Source organism: Homo sapiens, chromosome 11, assembly GCF_000001405.40.
Source record: "Homo sapiens chromosome 11, GRCh38.p14 Primary Assembly".
Lineage (NCBI taxonomy): Eukaryota > Metazoa > Chordata > Mammalia > Primates > Hominidae > Homo > Homo sapiens.
In genome coordinates, this window is record NC_000011.10 from 1941679 (window position 1) to 1961630 (window position 19952).

The 19952-nt window shown below is 60.6% G+C and overlaps 1 protein-coding gene and 1 non-coding gene across 9 annotated transcripts in view, besides 2 other annotated features; both read left to right on the forward strand.

Moving 5' to 3' along the window:
• Positions 1 to 5653: 5653 nt before the first annotated feature.
• The window catches only part of MRPL23 (mitochondrial ribosomal protein L23), a 67613-nt gene continuing 53314 nt past the window's right edge, over positions 5654 to 19952 (forward strand). For 4 of the 8 annotated variants that reach the window (XM_011520273.2, NM_001400176.1, NM_001400179.1 and 1 more), the window contains exons 1-4: positions 5654 to 5701; positions 9221 to 9343; positions 10449 to 10531; positions 11104 to 11177. In XM_011520273.2, the coding sequence (XP_011518575.1) occupies positions 5685 to 5701; positions 9221 to 9343; positions 10449 to 10531; positions 11104 to 11177 (297 nt within the window). In that variant the 5' untranslated portion in view covers positions 5654 to 5684. Of the gene's footprint in view, positions 5901 to 9220; positions 9344 to 10448; positions 10532 to 11103; positions 11178 to 13932; positions 14104 to 14577; positions 14923 to 19952 lie in introns of those variants that run through there. The other 4 variants (NR_174403.1, NM_001400174.1, NM_001400172.1 and 1 more) reach the window with 4 other exon arrangements.
• Positions 7583 to 8320: an enhancer, noted in NCBI's record as "H3K4me1 hESC enhancer chr11:1970491-1971228 (GRCh37/hg19 assembly coordinates)". NCBI's record gives its function as "activates a minimal SCP1, AML or CMV promoter by ChIP-STARR-seq in primed H9 embryonic stem cells {active_cell/tissue: H9 hESC(primed)}" and the evidence as "EXISTENCE:reporter gene assay evidence [ECO:0000049][PMID:30033119]".
• Positions 7653 to 7798, forward strand: SNORD131 (small nucleolar RNA, C/D box 131). The gene has a single exon (NR_132974.1). It is a non-coding gene; the product is annotated as a small nucleolar RNA, C/D box 131 (small nucleolar RNA).
• Positions 16361 to 17139: an enhancer, noted in NCBI's record as "H3K4me1 hESC enhancer chr11:1979269-1980047 (GRCh37/hg19 assembly coordinates)". NCBI's record gives its function as "activates a minimal SCP1, AML or CMV promoter by ChIP-STARR-seq in naive H9 embryonic stem cells {active_cell/tissue: H9 hESC(naive)}" and the evidence as "EXISTENCE:reporter gene assay evidence [ECO:0000049][PMID:30033119]".

The following is a 19952-nucleotide window of genomic DNA, read 5'->3' on the forward strand; positions in this document are numbered from 1 at the left end:
TGGGCTCAATGATCCACCCACCTTGGCCCCCCAAAGTGTCGGGATTACAGGTGTGAGCCACCGTGCCTGGCCGAGGCTGCAGTTTTCAATGAGGTGGGTGAATGAGGCCTCCGTGGGAAGAGGGCATGGCAAGTGTGCGGGGTCAGCACGTGCCCAGGCCCTGCGGCCCGGGAAGCCCACATGCTACAGGGGCACAAGAAGGCCCACGTGGACCCTCAGAGGCCCCCGACCACGCCATGTGAGAGGCTGACTACCTCTGCCACCCCCTCTTTGTGGCACCCGAGAGCAGGGTGCCTAGGAGGCCAAGAATGGTGGGGGGAACTGGGATTAAGATGGGACTCCTAGAATGGAGGCACTGTTGAGCCCTGGGCCACCAGGAGCAGGTGCTGGGAGGGGCTCTGCTGCTGCAGCAAAGGGGCCAGGTTGGCTGGGAAGGTGGGAGGGAGTGGGGGAGGAAGGTGGGAGGGAGGGGGGAGGGAGAGGGAGGGGCTGATGGGGAGACAAGAAGTCTCTAATGGCAGCTGATTCTGAAGGGCTTCGTCAGGGCAGCACCAACACACCCCCGCCTGCTGTCCTGGTCCTGTCCAAACGCAGCCTCCCATGTGGGTGGGGGGCCTTCTCTTCTGGTTGGGAGAAAAGCCAGGTGGCCACGTGTGTGGCTGGTGATCACAGGCTGGCGCTGCAAGGAGCTTTGAGGCTGCAAGGAGCTCTTGCTGTGCCACTGCACTTCCACACTCCAGCCTGGGAAACAGAGTGAGACCGTCTCAAAACACACACACACACACACACACACACACACACACACACACATACAAAAGCAGAAACCGACCAGGACATTGCTTGCTTGAGACTGGGAAATCCAGGATGGGATGGGGAGCCACACAGGGCACGAGAAAAATTTTGGGGCAATGGGTGTGTCTATCACAGCTCTGGGGAGGGCCGCAGGCTGTTTGGGGGGGTGGTGTCTTCTGGGTTCTATCCTGGTGTAATGCACAATGGCTTTGTGGATGTGAGCAAGCCACATTCCCAGAGCCATGGTCACCCAGCCGGTACACAGGGTCTGAGGATGCTGGACGCAGGCAAGGAGGGTTTGTGGTCCACGCTGTGGCCTGCAGGATGGGCAAGGGCTGGCAACAACCCTTCTGAGCTGCCTGTGCCTCTCCTGTGAGTCCTGCCTGCTCTGCCCCAGGGATCCTGGTGCCTGGGTCTGGCCTCCCCTGGGCTGTCTGGTTCCTGGACAGTGAGAGCCGGTGATCTGCAGCCAGGGCCTGGCACAAGTAGGTGCTGGGTAAAACAAGGGGGTTGCCATTTCTTCCTAATCTTTGAAAACCTGCATTTGAACATGGTGGCTCACTGGTTTGTGCTTACAGTGATTTCGCTACAAGTGTTTGCACCTTTTTGTGTGTTTATTGGCGGGATGAATGAATGAGTCTATGAATGAATGAGTGAGTGTATGTGTGAACAGCCCCTCCCCCACCCTCTGTATGAATGAATGAATGAGTGTATGTGTGAACGGCCCCTCCCCCCACCCTCTGTATGAATGAATGAATGAGTGTATCTGTGAACGGCCCCTCCCCCACCCTCTGAATGAATGAATGAGTGAGTGTATGTATGAACGGCCCCTCCCCCACCCTCTGAATGAATGAATGAATGAGTGTATGTGTGAACAGCCCCTTCCCCACCCTCTGTATGAATGAATGAATGAGTGTATGTGTGAACGGCCCCTCCCCCCCACCCTCTGTATGAATGAATGAATGAGTGTATCTGTGAACGGCCCCTCCCCCACCCTCTGTATGAATGAATGAGTGTATGTATGAACGGCCCCTCCCCCACCCTCTGAATGAATGAATGAATGAGTGTGTGTGTGAACAGCCCCTCCCCCCACCCTCTGTACGAATGAATGAATGAGTGAGTGTATGTGTGAACGGCCCCTCTCCCCCACGACCTGATTCTCATCTGCAGGCTGAAAGTGCTTTCCCAGCTGAATTCGTACGTTCCCTTAAAACCCTTCAGGGACCCTCACTGTAAAAACGCCCCAGCTCCCCCAGCCTGACTCGCAAAGCTCAGTTTAGGGGCTGCCCTTGCAGCGGGGCTCCTGGCTCAGGTCTAGCAGGTGGAAGCAGAAGAGCATGTCCCGACACACCGATGAGAAGTTGCTGAGGACGTGGAGCAGCAGGAAGCACCACCTTTGCAGTGGGAACGCCAAACAGTGCGGCCACTTTGGAAGACCGCGGGGCAGTTTCTTACAAAATCAAACGTCCTCCTACCATACAACCAGCAATGGCCCTCCTGGGTGTTTCTGCAAATGAATTGAAAACTTGTGTCCACCCTAAAACCTGCACACACATGTTTGCAGAGGCTTTATTCATTACTGCCGAGACTTGGAAGTAAACAAGAAGTCCTTCCGTAGGCAAAGGGATAAACCGAGGTACATCCAGACAATGGAACAATATCCGGCCCGAAAAGAATGCACTATGAAACCACAAAAAAACCCAGAGGAGCCCTAGCTGCATCTCACTCATGGCAAGAAGCCAATCTCGAAAGGCTACGTGCTGTATGATTCCAATGATACCACAGCCTGGAGAGGGCAATGCCAAGGCGGCAGTGGAAAGAGCCAGGGCTGCCAGGGGCCGGGGGAGGCAGGAATGCACAGGCAGGGCAGAGGCAGCTTTTCAGGCAGTGACACTTCTGTGTGACACCATAGTGGTGGCTAAAGGACATTTTGCAAGGATGAAACCTGGGGGTAAACTCTGGACTTAATAGTAATGCATCAGTATTGGTTTATCAATTGGAACAGATCACACCACACGATGCAAGATGTTAATAATGGAGGGGCACTCAAGGAGAGGGGGTCTGTGGGAACTCTGTATACTCCCTGAGCAATTTTTCTGTAAGCCCAAAGTTCCTCTAAAAGATAAGGTCTACTTAAAAAGGACCAATTATTGGGCCAGGTGCAGTGGCTCATGCCTGTAATCCTAGCACTCTGGGAGGCCGAGGCAGGTGGATCACCTGCGGTCAGGAGTTCGAGAACAGCCTGGCCAACGTGGCGAAACCCCATCCTTATTAAAAATACAAAATCAGTTGGGCGTGGGGGCCCGCACCTGTAATCCCAGCTACTCGGGAGGCCGAGTCAGGGGAACTGCTTGAACCTACGAGGTGGAGGCTGCAGTGAGCCAAGACTGTGCCATTGCACTCCAGCCTGGGCTACACGTGACCCTGTCTCAAAAAATAAAAAATAAAATACAATAAAATAAAATAAGGGCCAGGCATAGTGGCTCACGCCTATAATCCCAGCATTTTGGGAGGCCAAAGTGGGCGGATCACGAGGTCAGGAGATGGAGACCATCCTGGCTAACATGGTGAAACCCTGTCTCTATTAAAAATACAAAAATTAGCCGGGTATGGTGGCGCACGCCTGTAATCCCAGCTACTCAGGAGGCTGAGGCAGGAGAATTGCTTGAACCCGGGAGGCAGAGATTGCAGTGAGCCAAGATCGCGCCACTGCACTCCAGCCTGGCGACAGAGTGAGAGTGAGACTCTGTCTCAAATAAATAAACAAATAAAAATAAAATGACAATTTATTAGTTGTTTATCTGAACTTCAGATTTAACTGGGCCTGTATTTATCTGGCAGCCTCAACCCCGTGCAGACCATTGATCTCAGGAGAGGCAGGCAGAGCGGAAGCCGCGCTGGCATTTGTGTTCAATGGCAGGTGGGAAGGAGGAAGAGGAGGTCTCCACTGGCTCCCCAGGCATCTCAGAGACCCCCCATACTTAGCATGCCTTCCGGAGGATCCCATTAGCAGACTATCAGAGAAACAGGGATGGAAGGAGTGGTGAGGGGTCTGCTCCATTGTGACCCCACCCCTGCCTCGCCCTGAGGAAGGACCTCAGCTCCTAGCTCAACCGCCGCCCTCCAGCAGCCCCAGTGATCTGAGCAGCACCCACCCGTGACCCACAGCTCGGCCTCCAATCACCCTCCTCTCCACATCGGCCACCCACAACTCTGAACCCAACTTCCAGCAGCCACATATCTCTAAGCACACTGCACAATGTGGCTGCCGAAAGAGGCAGCATTGCATGAACATAAAAGGAAGCCTGAGGACCCCCGGCCCCAGGACCCCCCTTCTCCAGCTCCATCCCTGTCCTGCGGTCTGCTCCTTGGGCCTGGCCAAGGGCACCTGCTGCTGGGCAAAGGCCTGTCTGGTCACCAGCCTCCTGGGACCCTGCCACTGGCAGCCTGGAGCTTCTCCACCTCACGCAGGCCTGGACAACAGTGGGGACGGCTGCCACCACCTTCCCTGCCCACTCTGGCCCACTTCTCACTCCATCCTGCTTCAATGCCTTCATGCTAGATAGACCCCCTGGAGTCATTTCCACTCAAACCCACCCATCAGGAGGAACTCCAGCCCTACCCGGCCCAGGCCCTCGGAGGGGCACAGTGCCCTCTCCTCCTCCTGAATTTCCATCAACCCCAGTGCCCTCCCGCAGCCCTGTTCCCACCTGCAGGCCTGGGCCCCCTGCCCCCAGCAACAACCAGGACCCATGGCCCCGCTTCTTGCTCTGAAGCATGACACCCCTGCCTCTTGCTCTGAAGAACACTTAGGGTGCTGTTGGGTGCGGGAACAAGCCAGGCTTGGGGGTGGGGGGCACGGGCAGTTAAAGAGATAGATGGAGAAGTGGCCTGAATCCAGCCACCAGGCAGAGGAAACCAGGGGAGGAGGGAGAGGCCTGGGGACAGGGGAGGGAGGCTGCTGCCCTCTACTCCCGAAGGGTCCCAGCAGCCCTCCTGGCCAGCACTACCCAAGGAAAGGAGTGAGGACTGGGCCTTGGACGGGGGTCCCTGTAGAGAGGGCCTTGCCAGAGGCTGGAGGGGGCTGGCCAGAAGGGTGGAGAGGGGGTGAGCAAACGGCAAGGCCTGAAGAGGCCAGTGGCCCTCTTGGAGGAGGCGTGGTGGGAGCACCGAGGATGGACAGCGTGGCTGGTGTGGCCAGCGTGGGGGCTGCCAACCGGGCTGGCCAGAAGGGCGAGGTGAGGGGCCCTGGGGTTCCGGGCTCCCGGGTAAAAACAGCCAGATGGAGAGAGGGGCTTCAGACCCCAGGCCCGGGGACCCGCCCTCCCCAGCACTACAGCCCCGGTTCTCCACTTCCAGCTCCCAGCAGCTGCAAGCGCAGCGGTGCGGGGCCAGGCTGTGGCCTGGAGCTGCCAAAGGGCAGGGGCACGGGTGTGGGGGGCGTGCAGGCCGGGGTCCCGGGAGGCAGGGCAGACAGGCCCGAAAGAGTGCGACGGCGGCGGGAGGTCTCTGGGGCTGGGAGGGGTGCGGGCGTGGGCGGGGCGCGAGCAGCAGGGGCGCGGGCCCGGGCTTCAGGCTGTGGGGCCGGGAGTGCGGGGCGGGACTGCTGCGGCCCCGCGTCCTGTGGAGTCTGCGGCGCGGGGAGTGGGGGTCGGGGCGGGGAGGAACGTGGGGTGCGGGACAGGAGGGGGGCAGGGAGGGAGAAGAAGGCGGCGCGGGGCGGGGCGGGCGCAGGGCTGGGGACGGCACGGGCGCGCGGCACGGGCGCTGGCGCGTGCGGGGGGGGCGGCGCGGCCTCCGGAAGCGAGGGGGCGCTGTGCCAGGCGGCGGCCGTGCGGGGCGGGCGCGCTGCTCCTTCCGCCTCGCGGACCCCGGAAGCGCGCGTGGCCGCCATGGCGCGGAATGTGGTGTGAGTAGGGGTCGTCACCCCCCCGTCGCGGGGCGCCCCTTAGTGTCACAAGCAGACGGACCCCACAGGGCGCGCGGACTCCGGGGAGCGGGGTGGGCGTCCCTGGGCCGCCTCCTGGCCCGGGCGAGGCAGGGTTCTCCGGGACCCCCTGTCATGCCTTGAGACACGCGAGGCGGGTGGCGGAGGAGCCCCCCGCCAGGTTTAGGGCAACCCCAGGGGGCGGGCGTGGCCGGGCTGGGGACAGAGGGTCCGAGCCAAACCCATGGAGGCCACGGTGCCCCCGCGTGGGGAGTGGGAGGGTGGCCCGGGGTCAGGCCCGGGGCTGGTCCCGCAGCCAGGGCCGAGGGAGCTGTTTGGAGACGTTTCTGATCGTCACGGGGCGGGGGCCACGTCGGCTGTTGGGTCCAGGCGGGGAGGCCCGGGCGGCCCCCACCGCAGCGCGGGCGCGGCCTGAGGCAGAGGAGCTGGGAATCCAGATTGGGTTTGAGTGGGAAAGGGCAGCTGACCGCAGCCCTCAGGGCTTTGGGGCAGGCAGGGCGGGAGGCCCGGTTCTGCTCAGCCCAGACCCCCCACGCCCACTCTGCATGTTCTCTGGATTCCCAGGGGGCCATCGGGGCGCTGTCCTGCACCACTTCGCCCTCCCCAAATTGAAGCAGGAAGCCCTGCATATTTCTTGGTGAACGAATGACTCAGGCGTAATCAGTAGATGTGGGCTCCCGGGTGGGTTTTGGAGAACAGTAATCAGTGTTTCTGGAGAGGGACGGTCAAGGGGCCAGGGTGTGGCTTTGGAGGCCCCTGCACATAGCTGGGGAGAGAGGGGAGGGTGGCAGGTGGGACCCCCAGTGGAGGAGGCTTCCTTCAGCAGACACCTGGGACCGGTGCTGCGCGTGGCCCTGACCTTGGGGAACACCCAGCACCAAGGAAGAAAAGGTCTGAGTGAGGCCAACACTGCCCTGAGCCTCACGTGAATTCCACGCTGGCCCTTCGCCTGTCCCTGGAGAATGAGGAGGAAGTGAGGGTCAGAGGACCCGGGTGGGGTGTTCCTGAAGGGCCAAGGGTGGTGGGCCCCTGGAAACGGATCAGGTGTGGTTGCCTTGGAGGCAGCGGGGCCCGCTCGCCCAGCAGTGCACACACTCCTGTTGCCAGGGAGCCTTTGCAGGGAGCGCTGACTGGACTTGCTGTGGACTGGATGCAGCTGGGGTGGGGGTGCCGAGAGGGTGGGATCCTGGGTGAGTCACTCGTGGGGCCGTGGGGAGGCAGGCTGGTGGCAGTGAGCCAGGTTTTTGTGTTTTGAGGAAGAAGTTAGTGCAGAGTTCTACTTGAGATAGGTTACCGTGGAGGTGCTTGTGAAATCCCATGCGGAGTGCTTGGGGTGCTCCCTGGGGAGAGTGGGACTGAGGGAACTGAGGGCTGGTGGGCCCACAAGGGTTCGAGAACAAAAGAGAGGCCTTAGAGCCCTGTCCTGGGGCCCTGGGTGTCGACAGTGCAGATTGTTCCAGATCTGCAGGCTCCATGCACAGGCAGCTGGCGCTCCAGCCTGGAGAGGCTCGGCCTGTGGGAACAAGGACAGTGAATCGTCCTGGCCCAACCCCTGCCAGCCTCTCATCTCAAGCCCACACATGGCCCTTCAGACCCTTAGCAAAGTGTGCCCTTCAGGCCCCAAGCCTGGAGACTCGAAAATTAATGGCCTGGGAGCTGTTGAACCCTCTTTTCTACTGTTTACTGGGAGTCCCCAAACTTTGTCTCCACTCCTGCAGTCCCACAGCTGGTCACCAGAGGGAATGTGTGAGCCCCTCGGGTGGCCATGGCTAGCCTGAACCTGTGGGTAAAACAAGTCAGGCCCCTCCACCTCCAGAGCCCACCCTTTCTTCTCGGCCTCTCACTGGGGCCCACCCCTGAAGGCTGCACTCTGAGGCTTGGAAAGGCCAAGGCCATGCCCAAGAGGAGGCTCTGCTGGGGTTGGGTGAGTGAAGACTCAGCCCCACTGGCCCGGCCACCAGGCTGCCATGTGTCAGTGTGGTCATCAGGAGGCCTGGGGTGGACATGATTAGTGATCGGGCTTTGTTACAGGCGCCTTGCCTCTGAGAGGTCCCAGCAGCTCCTGGCCCCTGCCAGGCCCTCAGGCCCAGAGGCTCAGTGCTGCCTACCACTGTTGGCCCTTCAGGAACACCCCACCCAAGGCCTCTGACCCTCACTTCCTCCTCATCTTCCCTAGACAGGCAGAGGCCAGCGTGAAATTCATGTGAAGCCTGGGGCAGCGTTGGCCTCACGGAGCCCCTCTTAACTTGGTGCTGGGTGCTCCCAAGGCCAGGGCCATGTGCAGTGCCTCAGATAAGGCCACCAGAGACCCCTCAAGAGCCCCTGTGCTCCCCGTCCACCAAGACCTGCACCTAGGCTCTCAGACCCCACATCCCCCGAGACCCAGCAGGCCTGAGTTTCTCCTGTGCCCCTCCTCCCCCCAGCTCTGAGGCCCAGATAGAGCCAGGGTGTGCCGGCAGTGGCAGGGGCGGGAACGGGGGTGGGGGACGGTAGGACGGTGCTGCCTGTCCACCCAGCTGAACGTGGGAGAATGCACGAAACCAACTGGCTAGAGATTCTGCACGATCGTCACCTGGCCCCCCAGCCCAGGCAGCGTGCTGGTCTAGTTTGCGGTGGCCACTTGGCACCTCTCCATCTGCCTCTGCTGGCTTTTAGTGGAGTGCTGGGGTGTGGTGCACTCAACTCACATTTAGTGTACTGAATCAGAGTCTTGGCAGCACCGTCTTCCAGGAGCCTAAGCCTGGTTAGCCTGCGTTCTCCATACCGAGGAGCTAGGCCCTGCTGCCACCGGGAGAGTGCGGAGCTGGCCTTTTCTGTCCCATGGTGTGTGGTTCTCTGCAGCTCCACTTCACCCGAGCAGCAGGAGAGTGGGCCGGCCGCGTGGGGTCTGCTCTCCCAGGGGTATCAGTGCCCCAACACACGTCTTTGAGCCTTGCCATCAGCTTATTGGGGGAATGCTGTCTGCGGGGTTCTGATTTTTGTCCATTGGCCTTTTCTAAAGTCTGACCTTGGGGGTCAACAGCGCATGCTCCTTAAGTCGATGCTAGGGACTGGCCGTCCACCTTGGCAGGCCCATGTGAGAAAGGGGCTGTGGGGACCTCTGTGTCCTTGGGTGGTGACCTGCTGATAGCTACCCCGTTTCCCGCCCACCCCTGTTGTGAGTGGACACGCGGGGGTCTGCAGGGTTAGCTACCCTGTTTCCCGCCCACCCCTGTTGTGAGTGGACACGCGGGGGTCTGCAGGGTTAGCTACCCTGTTTCCCGCCCACCACTGTTGGGAGTGGACACGCGGGGGTCTGCAGGGTTAGCTACCCCGTTTCCCGCCCACCACTGTTGGGAGTGGACACTCAGGGATCCGCAGTGTTAGCTACCCCCTTTTCTGCCCACCCTGTTGTGAGTGGACACTCGGAGGTCTGCAGGGTTGGTGTGTCGGGCTGCCTTGGCCTAAGTGTGTGACATGGACCCAATCTCTTCTGTACAGGTACCCCCTGTACCGGCTGGGTGGCCCACAACTTCGGGTGTTCCGAACCAACTTCTTCATTCAGCTGGTGCGGCCCGGTGTGGCCCAGCCCGAGGACACCGTGCAGTTCCGGATCCCCATGGAGTGAGTCCGGGAGGATTCCGGCTGGGGTTGGGGAGCACCCTCGGGGGGATCCCCGTGGAGTGAGCCCGGAAGTTTTCCCGCTGGGTTGGGAGAGTGCCCTCAGGGGGGCCTGGGTCCTGAGTTAAAACAACTCTGCTCACGTGCTAGCCTCTTCCTGCTGGGAAGGCACCTCAGGCGGCCCTGCCCGGCAAGTATTGATGGAGTGCCTGTAGGTGTGGAGCCCGGCAGGCAGGCTGCACGCCGCCCTCCACCCGGGGACGGCTTCACTGGAAGCCTTAAAATTTGGACCTCTGTGCTCGCGTCTTCTGTTGAGTTCTTGCAGCTTCTTTTTAGGAGAGGCGCCCTGAGAGGCTGGGTTGGGAGCAGGCCGTGATGTACAGAACCGCTCAGAAGAGCCTGCTTGACCTTCAGAGAAATGCACAGTCCCTACGAGCAAAACTGGGGTGCTGCTCTGCAGTGTTTAAGTTCACAGGTCCCCAGCTCAGGGTTGATGCGAGCCAGGCGGGGCAGCAGCGTGAGCTCCCCTGGGGGCGAAGGTCAGGCCTGTGCAGCCTGCAGGGGCCCAGAAGCTGAGTTGACAGTGACCGTGAGGTTCTGCAGTAGAGGGAACTTGCAGTTAACGCACCGAATGCCAGGCAGGCCTTTCCAGAAGGTACTTCCTAGAACCGCATCAGTCCCATCAGCCGCAGAGCAGGCCTAACCCTGATGCGGCCACTGGGCCCCGGGGCAGACGAGGTGGGGCACCTGCCAGCCAGGAGCGTGCAGAGACTGTCACCTCCTCTCACAGGCACTTGCCCGGAGCAGGGAGCCATGTGGGGCTGTGGAGCAGGCCAGGGGTTGGTTGGGCAGTGCTCCCACTCTGTGGGGTCTGTGCCACTGCCACCCCATGCTGGTGTGCCCAGAGTAGGGAGTCTTGCAGCCAGCAGCACTGGTGTTGCTGGGGCTGCCTGGCCTCACTAGTGCCGCTGATGTACCCAGCCCTCCTCCCTGCCCCCTGTGGGTCTTGGTCTGTCGGCCTCTCAGCCTCGGGTGCTTGTGCATCTGGGACAGTATTTTTGGCTTTTAGCCTGGTTAAGATGCCGTTTTCTTTCTCCTTCGCCTCCAGAATGACAAGGGTGGACCTCAGGAATTACCTCGAGGGCATCTATAACGTGCCCGTGGCTGCTGTGCGGACACGGGTGCAGCATGGTGAGTGCCCATGGGAGGTTCTCCTGTTGGTGTCGTGCCCATCTGTGCCACATGCCCACCTCGCCGAGCCACAGCCTCAGCTACTGCATGGGGGTCTTGGTCTGACGTGGCTCATGGGAAACTGAGGCACAGGGTGACTTGTCAGGGTCACACGGTGCTTACGTGCCAGAGCAGGGATTGGAATTCAACTGGGCTGGCCCGGGGTCCATTCTGAGCCCTGACTCCTGCCGTCAGCCCCCGAGGTGGGACTGCAGTGGCTGAGGCTGGGGAGCAAAGCGCTGTCTGTTCCATAAGCCCCTGTCGTGTGCCCTGGCTGGTGCCACGTCCGCTCCTTTGTTGAGAACCTGCTGGCCTCTGTTGGGAGAAGGGAGGAGCCTGGGAGCCTGCTGTGCTGGCTCGTTTGATTACAGTGCCCATTTCCCTGAGAAATCGCCTTTTTGAGTTTTTAAAAACATATTTACATTTTTAAGAGAGCAGAGGTTCGTTTTAGTGGCATTGACCTCTGAGGATGTAATTTTTTAAAGTTCTGATTTTTTTAAAGTTCTGATTTTTTTTTCACTCCCTTCCGGCAGGCTCTAACAAGAGAAGAGATCACAGAAACGTGAGGATCAAGAAGCCGGACTACAAGGTCGCCTACGTGCAGCTGGTGCGTGTGAGCTGGCCAGCCCCAGCGGGGCCTCCGAGGGGCTCCTCGCAACTGTGTCCTTGGGGATGTTTGTGCCGGAGACGCTGCGCTGGGGCCCAGGGAGCCCCCGTGAGGCCGGATCTCAGGGCCTCAGCGCAGAGGCAGGCTCCACATAAGGTCATGCTCCGTCACGGCCTTGGGGGTGTTAGTGGTGGCGCTGGGAGCACGTGAGCACTGGGGCACATGGGGCACGTCTCAGCGTCCGGCCGTTTTGTGATTTTGAAGTTTGAATTCTCTGTGGGCAAAGGCAGCCATCACAGGCCTAGTGGGTTTCAACTCCAACGCACACCAGGGTGTCAGAGCATGGGAGGCCCCGGCCTCTGGAGAGCCTGTCCTTGGCTGGGTTTCAGCCTCGGAGGCAGAGTGTGAGGCCCCTGAGGGCAAAGGTCTTTGGTGCCAAGGCAGGTCTGGCTGGCCGGGCTGTTGGCTGAGGCCCATGTCCTGCATTGCAGGGTAGCAGGTCCCACGTACTTGTTAGGGCTCAGCAGGCTGCTTCTGAGCAGGTGCTTTCTTACGTATCCTGGGGGGCTCTGGGGAGGAAGAACCCTCACCCCACGTTGCCTGGGCCTTCAGTTTCTGAAACCCAGACTTGTCAGGAGTGAGACCCACAGTTTCAAAGCCTTTCTTTGGGCTCTTCATTTTGAGTCCCAGGCAAACCCAGAGGCACTTTCTCTCTGGGCCAAGATGTCCACAGCCTGCCCCGGCCGCCTCCTGGGCCTCCCCACTCTGCCCCTGGGGCTGGCCTTACTGGGTGGGGATGGGGTTGTCTTCCGGTGTAAATGGTCCCTGGAGGCCGAGCCGGCGGGCCCTGCCACTAGATGGCAGTCACACGATGGTGGAAACCGCCTCCTGGGCCAGCCGGCCTGTTGTGGGGCTAAGGAGGCAGTTTGTGAAAAAGGCCAAGTTAGCATGGCAGCTTTTCTGAAAAACAGTCACATTTGTTGTTCTAAACAGGGGCCCCCGGAATAATTTGGCCTGATATTTGCTGTGCATGAAATCAGCCAATCCAGGTGGGGAGAGCAGCCGTTGGCCTCATAAAGGCCTCTGTGTGCTCAGTGTCAGTCGGGCCCATCTGTCTTTGTCATGGCATGTGGGTGGACATCCCGTGTGCCGGCACCGCCACGGGCACTTCAGAGGCAGCTACGGTTACAAGTGGCATTCAAGTCATCCGAGCCCTTGCGTTCTTCCTCTGGGCCCCACCTCCCATGAAAACTGAACCCAGCAGCTCCGGGATCCGGTGTCTGCAGCTGCTGCCCGCGTGTTGTTCTCCCTCTGTGAAGTCCAGGCAGCCAGAGACAGGGCAGGGCAACTGGGAGCCTGAAGGGTCCCAGTTGGGCATGGATCCTCCTGTTCCAGAATGAAAATTTGTAACGGGTCCTCACCCCCCTTCCTGAACTCCAGCACATCTTTGCACAGCCTAGAAATGGGCCGTGGCCGTTGGTCCCTGTCTGCCCGCAGAGGGGACTCTCAAGGCCCTTTCCTGTCTCGTGTCTGCTGAGACCTTGCTCAGCGTGTCCCCCTGGGCCCTGCGCCAGGGCTTAGAATCACTGCTAATTGCAAAGCCCAGGGAGGGAGCATTGGAAAGGTAAAATTATCCACGTTATTTGGAGTTGGCCGCTGTGGAAAGGCCCTGTCCCACGTGGCGGGAGTCCCACATTTCTTTCTCCGACAACCTGATAAGCATCTCCTTGGCCCAAAGTCCTGGGAGCTGAAAGCAGCGCCTCAGTGACCCACACAACAAAAAGACCATTGACTGCCCGCTGCCCCGAGGCTTGTGTGGATGCTGAGCAGCGCGGGAATGAAGGGCGCGCAGGAATGAAGGGCGCACGACATGAGAGGCAACTCCAGAACAAACCGCTGCCGCCAGCTGGGCCGAGCTCCGTGCTCGGGGCTCCGGCCTCCAGGTCCAGGCAGGCGGCAGCCCCCAGGGCGCCCTGGGATTCCTGAAGGCAGGGCTGCCTTGTTTACTTGTCATTGGGACATTTTTCTCCATTCCTGTTCTTTACCCCGATCAGCTGTCTCTCTCCTTTTTGGAAGGATCAAGGGCTTTTTTTTTTTAGGTACAAGGTGAACTCTTCTAGAAAGGGGAAGCCCCTGGGAAACCATGCTTGGCATCCCCAAACGGTGTTTGTCTCCTGTAAGAAACGGATTTTCTCTCAGCACCTTTCCCCATTTCTTCCCGAAGCTGTGACAAATGGCCATGTTTGTGCTTTAAACTGTCATTTTGGGTTCCCCTTGCCTCGGAAAACTAGCAGAATCACCTCCATATAGTCAAGGTGAATCTCCCATTCTGGGCAGTCAGCCTCACGTGTAAACGACTGCCCCTTGGTATTTTAAAAGACGCAAAGTTCAGAGCTGTGTAAGGCAATCCTCCTGCAGGCCGGCTACGGCGCACGCAGTGCCACTCTCCCCGCCAGCCCCTGCGCTCTGCGCCAGGGATCAGGGTGCATACACCTCCCTCGCAGGGTGGGATCTGGGCCTGTTTCAGATCATACTTGGCTGCCTGCCCACATCCAGATTTATTTACACACAAAGGGTCTGCAAGAGCCAAGTGTACCTGACTGATTTTACTCACTAAAGGGTTCCAGATTCGGGTGCCATCCTCACTCCTCCTCCCTCTTCTCTTCCCTCTCCTCTGGTCTGCTCTTTCTGCCTCTTAGCTTTGGAGCACTTAGTAATCATTAGCAAGTTAAGATGGCTTCTTGTATTTGCTTAGGTCCCCAAGGAGCAGTATCCCCTCCTTCTCGTGAACCCGAGCCACATGCTGTGGCCTGGGCTGGGGCTTGGCTGACACGGACATATTCTGAACTCTCAGCAGAAGATGTAAGACCAGTTAATTGGCAGAGCCGGTCCTGATTTATCAACTGCCGCACGTGCATGTTTCTTCGTACGTGATGTTCACTTTAATTGCCAGGCTCTGGGCTGGGAGGAGGGGGAGCTTTAATGTGAGTAGAGCCTGAGGCATTTTGGATGGACAGGTTCAGCATGGTACCAGACGTGATTTGTGTCATGTTTTTCCATGCCTTGTTTCTGCCCCCCACCAACCAGGTGGCCCCGTGCTAGTAAATGGGTGCACCCAGGGCGGGGGCAGACACCAGGCCCTAAAGAGACAATGGTGGGGAAAGCGGCCCTGTCCTGGAGCTGTGGCCTCTGCTGCAGCGTGACAGCCGGGGGCCGGTGGCCGTGGGGGTGCTTACATTCCAGGCAGGGACGCTGCCCCAGGAGGCCCAGGGAGGTACCTCTGAGCAGTTGAATCCGGCGCCGGCAGAAAGGGGCTGCCAGAAAGCATGAGGCTCCCCCACAGACCCCTCTGCTGAGGAGTCTTTGCAGCTCTGGCTGGAGCCTTTGTTCTCCCCCTTAGGCCCATGGACAGACCTTCACGTTCCCAGATCTGTTTCCCGAGAAAGACGAGAGCCCTGAAGGCAGCGCTGCCGACGACCTCTACAGCATGCTCGAGGAGGAGAGGCAGCAGAGGCAGAGCAGCGACCCGCGGCGGGGCGGCGTCCCCAGCTGGTTCGGGCTGTGACGGGGTGGCCAGCAGGGACGCGCCCCAGGTGGGCAGCTGTGGCAGAGCAGCGACCCGCGGCGGGGCGGCATCCCCAGCTGGTTCGGGCCGTGACGGGGCGGCCAGCAGGGACGCGCCCCAGGTGGGCAGCTGTGGCAGAGCAGTCCCGACACCTAAATAAAAGTCTTGCTGCAGGAGAAAGAGCCGGAAGCTCTGCTTCCTTCTTCTCTTGGGTCTCTGGGTGCCAGACACGCAGCAGCCACCCCCCAGCTCTGAGCGCCACGTGGCCTGGCTCCGCTTTCCCAGGGTCTGGGCAGTGGGCGCGGCCGGGGTCTGGTCTCTGAGTTGACGGGGAACTGAGGGTGGGCAGACTTGAGACGTGGCCCCATGCTGGGGAGGCGGGTTGGCCAGAGAGGGCCACACACAGGCTCGGAGCTGCATGCCAGGTGGGGAATGAGACACGCAGGTGAAAAGACCCAGAAGATAGTTCTGAGCGCCCACATTCAGAGCCTGAGCCCAGAGGCGTCGGGAGGAATGGAGGGGTCAGCGTGAGCACGGGGCGGCGCCGGGTGAGAGAACGGCCTGGCCTGGACAGAAGTTCTGGGGAGGGGCTGCCAGGGCAGCAGCCCTCAGGGGGCCTGGTGAGGGAACTCCGGCCCGCCTGTGGGTTTCGGTTTGGCACTGTTGGCAGCAAGAACCCGAGAAGGGCCGGGAAGGGATCCGAGGGCAGCAGTGTCTCAGGAGAGCCATGGCGGAGAGGTGCCGTCGGGCGGAGAGGTGCCGTCGGGCACAGGCCCGGGGCTGGGCCTAGGGGACAGGGAGGACCCAGCCTGGAAAGGTGGTTAGGGCAGGGGGCAAGGTGTGGCCAGCAACCACTGCAAAACAGTTCTGTGGGCTTCTCGGCCCTGGGGGTGGACAGGTCGAGAGAGGAGAGGGTGGGCTTGAGCATCCTGTTGGAGGTGCCCAGTGGCCTCGCAGTGTCTGGGTGGATGCCTGGGTCTAGACCCTTGTTCTGTCGGCCCAGGGCAGGTCAGGACGCACGGCCCCTGCTCTGATTCTTGTCTAAAGGGTTCTGCGTGGAAGCCTGTGGCCCTGCCAGAGGCTCTGTGCTGCCTCTCCTAGCCTGGCCTGGCCTGTGGGAGCAAAAGGGGGTTGCCCGGCCGCCGTTTTTGGGGCCTGAACCTGGCAGACTGGCCTGGGTTCCCGTTCCAGCAAAGCTGGACAGGCCAGCCGGGGCAGCCTCCAGGGGGCCCTGAGCTGGATACAGAATTGATTTTTGGTTTTAATGATGTCTTATTCAGAACCTTCCAAGGAGCCCGGAAGGTTTCCAGCCCCTCTTCCCAGAACCCCTGCATCTGGTGAGGCCCAGGGCCTCCAGAGCCCCTTCTGGCCCCGTCTCCATGCGGCAGCTGGTGCGTCCTCAGGACGGGTTGCAGAGGCCTGGGGGCCCCTCTGTTTTTCTTAGTCTGTCCTTGGTTCCAGTGCTTCCCGAGAAAATCCAACATGGAGGCCAGAGCAAGGCCCCCTCCCTGCTGTGTGCGGGCAGCTCCGGCTTTGGGGTTGGGAATCAAAACCAGGGCCCACGTGTACGTCGGGAGCCATCTGCGCTCCACCCTGACCAGGACGGAGCCGCACTCGGGCGTCTGGGGGAAAGCCCACGGCGCGGCTTTCTTGCACGAAGTTGGGTTTGCCGTGTAAGCCTCCCCATGCGAATGCTCAGAAGAACACAGGTGTCACGTGGCCTTGGGACCAACCCTGATCTGCAGCGTGGGCCTGTTGTGGTCTGAGTGAGGGTCCTGGCTTTTCCTTCTGCTTGGGCAGCCTTCCGAGGGTCTTGCAAGAGGAGATGGCGTGGCAGCTGGCTCAGCCTCCCCTCCCCCAGCCCGGAGTGCAGGCAGGAGGGGGTGTGGCGGGGGAAGTGTTCGGCTAGGGGGTGAAGGCCCGGGCAAGCTCACCCTTCAGTGTTGATTTAAAGGGATGGGGAAGGTCAGGAAGTAGAGCCGGAGAAATGGAGTCAACTGTGTTTTCCTTAGAGAAATAATTCATGGGGCCTAGAGCTCTGAGGACCCTAACTCACGGCAGGGGAAGAGGAATCCCATCCTTCATCCACGGCACGTCCAGCCCCGCACACAGGGGCCGTTAGCAGCCCTGCTGGCGGCCAGCGCACCAGGCACACTCCATCACGGCCGCCACCCCCAGACGCAGCCCTGACTCCGGCTCCAGCCGCCCCGGCCTCCAGATCCTCCTCCCGCCCTGTCTCACCCCGGCCTGTGCTGTCCCGTCGCAGCCCCCATGTCTCCCACAGGCCTCCCTGCCAGGGAGGAGAAAGGGGCTGGGGAGCTACTGCACCCCCATCTCCACAGCACACCAGGGGCTCCCTCACTCCCCAGTCGTCACTGGGCATCCTTCTGCATGGCAGCCCACTGACCCCGGTAAGGGGCTGGCTGAGGGCCGGGCCTTAGGGGAGATAATAGCCTCAGGGGCCTGCCAAGTGCGTGGCCTGGGCCCAGTCCCAGGGGGTGCCCAGATGGAGGCAAGACCAAAATGCGGGGATGAGCACGGGGTGAGGCTGGGCGCATTTCTTGAAGAATGGGGGATAGGGACGGGCGTGTGGCGGTCCAGCGTGAGAAACAGGGCTGCCAGTCCTCGGCGGGGGTGGGTGATTCACACAAGACCCCACTTTCTGGGTCGTTGACTTGACCAATGGTTTCTGGTCTGAGCCGGGTGTCAGAACTGAGGCCCCCGGGTATCTGTCCCAGCCGCGTGTGGCATGACCTAGCCATGTCACTGGGTAGTCTTCCCCAAAGCATCCACACCCACCTCACATGCCTGCTGCAGAGGAGCGCGGAGCAGGCCGGGGTGGGCAGGCGGCCCCACTCAGGGTCTGGAAGGCTTGGCCTCTCCAAGAGCCCTGCGTGCCGCACCCATGGAGCTGAGCTTGGGGTAGCCAACCAGGGCTGTGCGGGGAGGGCCCACAGGAAGGGCCCTGGGTGGAGTGGGATGCTCGGGTTCAGCTGGGGGTCTGCTCCCACCACCTCAGGCACACACACAGCCCACAGAAGGGACCGGCTGGACGCGCCAGCTCCCGTGACCCGCTCCTGCCTGGAGGCTCAGGGAGGGAGGGAGCAGCACCTGGGCAGGTCTGTCTTTTCCCCAGTACGAGGGCCCACTGTCGTGGCGCATGTGCTCACACAGGCTCTTTCATGCATGGGGACCAGAGAGGGTCTCACAGGGCCCCTCCGGCCCGGGCGTCAACCTCACCACCCCCACACCTGGGCAAGACCCCTGTCCAACCCAAACAGGCTGTTCCTGCAGAAGGAACTCGCCCGGAAAGATGCATCTCCCAAGGCTGACAGGACCACTCCCGCCTGTGTCTGGACATCCTCAGCGTGGCAGGAGTGGGAGAGGGACCCTGACCCAAGAGATAGCAAGTGGGCCCGCGGCCTTGCCTCGGTCGCCCCCAACATGACAGCCCTTCCCCTCGTGGACATCTCCAGCTGGGAGCAGGGTCGGGGACAGCCAGAGACAAAGGCAACAGGACGAGGGAGAGAGCCGACAGCGCTGCTCCGTGTCCCCATTCATGTTCATTTATTGCCATGCAGGGGTGATGCAAGGCCCAGGCAGTGCCATGCTGCGTGCATGGGAAGGGGTGGAGGGCCCTCGGGACCGCACCGGGCTGTGCTCATAGCTGGACGGCCCCACTTCTCTATGCTGATGAGTTTATAGCCATGATGGGCCCAGCTCTACGGCCCACAGGAGCCCATGCCCTGGCAGCTCCAGGTAAGAGCCAAGCTGCCGGAATGGAGCAGAAACCCCTCTGTCTTCTGTCCTCCTCCTCCCCAGGTGCCGCACCCTCGGTCCCCTCCTCTCTATCTCCAGCACCGCTCACAGCTCCGCACCCCCAGAATTCCCTGCATTGTCGTCTCTGCGTCTTGGGGCCCTGCAGAGATGCCTGCAGTGCCCTGTGCGTGGTGGCCAGGGCCTGGGCTGCGGTGTACGTGAGTGCCCGTCTCATCTCCCTAACCGGCTAAGAGTTCTTTCAAGGCCAAGAATTCTTCTCTTTGACCATATTTCCACCCCTCCGCCTGCCCTAAGACGCTCTCCATAGTGGACGCTGCACTTTGCCATGGCATGCCGGGTGGACAGGACTGCTGGGGCCCCCGTGTTCCAGCCTCTCCTGCGCCTCCAGATGCCTCCTGAGGGCATCTGGGGCATCTGGTTCTCCTCTTTGGGAGCTGGCAGTGTTCCTGGGGCGGCTTGATAGTGTCCCATCTATGGCATCACTTCCGTACCTGGTGGCAGATGAGCAGCCAGGTGCTGGGGCAGGAGTGGGCTCTTCCTGTCCCTGGCTCCCTGGGCTCCTCCTCTGCCCCATCCTGCCCCCACCCACCTCCTTGGGCCCCTCTGCCTCAAGCCAACACATGCCTCTGCAGTCTAGAACCTGAAGTCACATTCGCGGTTGCCTGTCTGCACTGGGGGTTCCCATCTTCTGGCCTCCAGCAGGGGACGAAGGCCAGGGACACAGCGGTTCCTCCTGGTCCACCCCAGGGCTTAAAGTGAGGACAGGCTGGAGAAGGCCAGCCCCTTGAAGGTAGCTGTAGTGGCTGCCATCTTGGGACTGCCCTCCCACCTCCCACCTTTCCTGCAACCATCAGCCGTATTAGCTGAGTGAACGAGTGAGTGAGTGAGTGCCCGATTCAGGAAGTCAGCTTGGCCAGGTGGGAAAGCCAGGCTGCCATCCTCTTCCTCGGGCTTTGGTGGGTGCTCCTGGCCAGGGCCTGGCTGAGTGGGCAGGTGGCGTGAGCCGAGCACCGCCTGGCATCCCTGCCTGGCCATGGGGGGTCCCCCAGAGCAGGAGGCCTGTGGCTGCAGTGATCTGAGAGAGCACTGGCCTTGGGATGCTCTTTTCTATTTTTAAAAAACAGCTTTATTGAGATGAAGTTCACATACCCTAAAATCCACCCACTCAATGGCTTCTAGTATATTCCCAGAGTTGTGTAGCCTACTAGGACATTTTCATCACCCAGAAAGCAATGTGCACCCCTTAGCTGGAGCTCCCAGCTCCCTGCTCCCTTCTGCCCCTGGCTATGACTGGTCTGCTTTGGATTGGCCTGTTCTGGATGTTTCATGAGTGAACCACTCAGGGTCTGTGTGGCTTTTCGTGTCTGGCTTATTTCACTTGGTGTGGCATCTTCAGGGCGCACCCATGTCGCAGCCTGCCCCAGGATCTC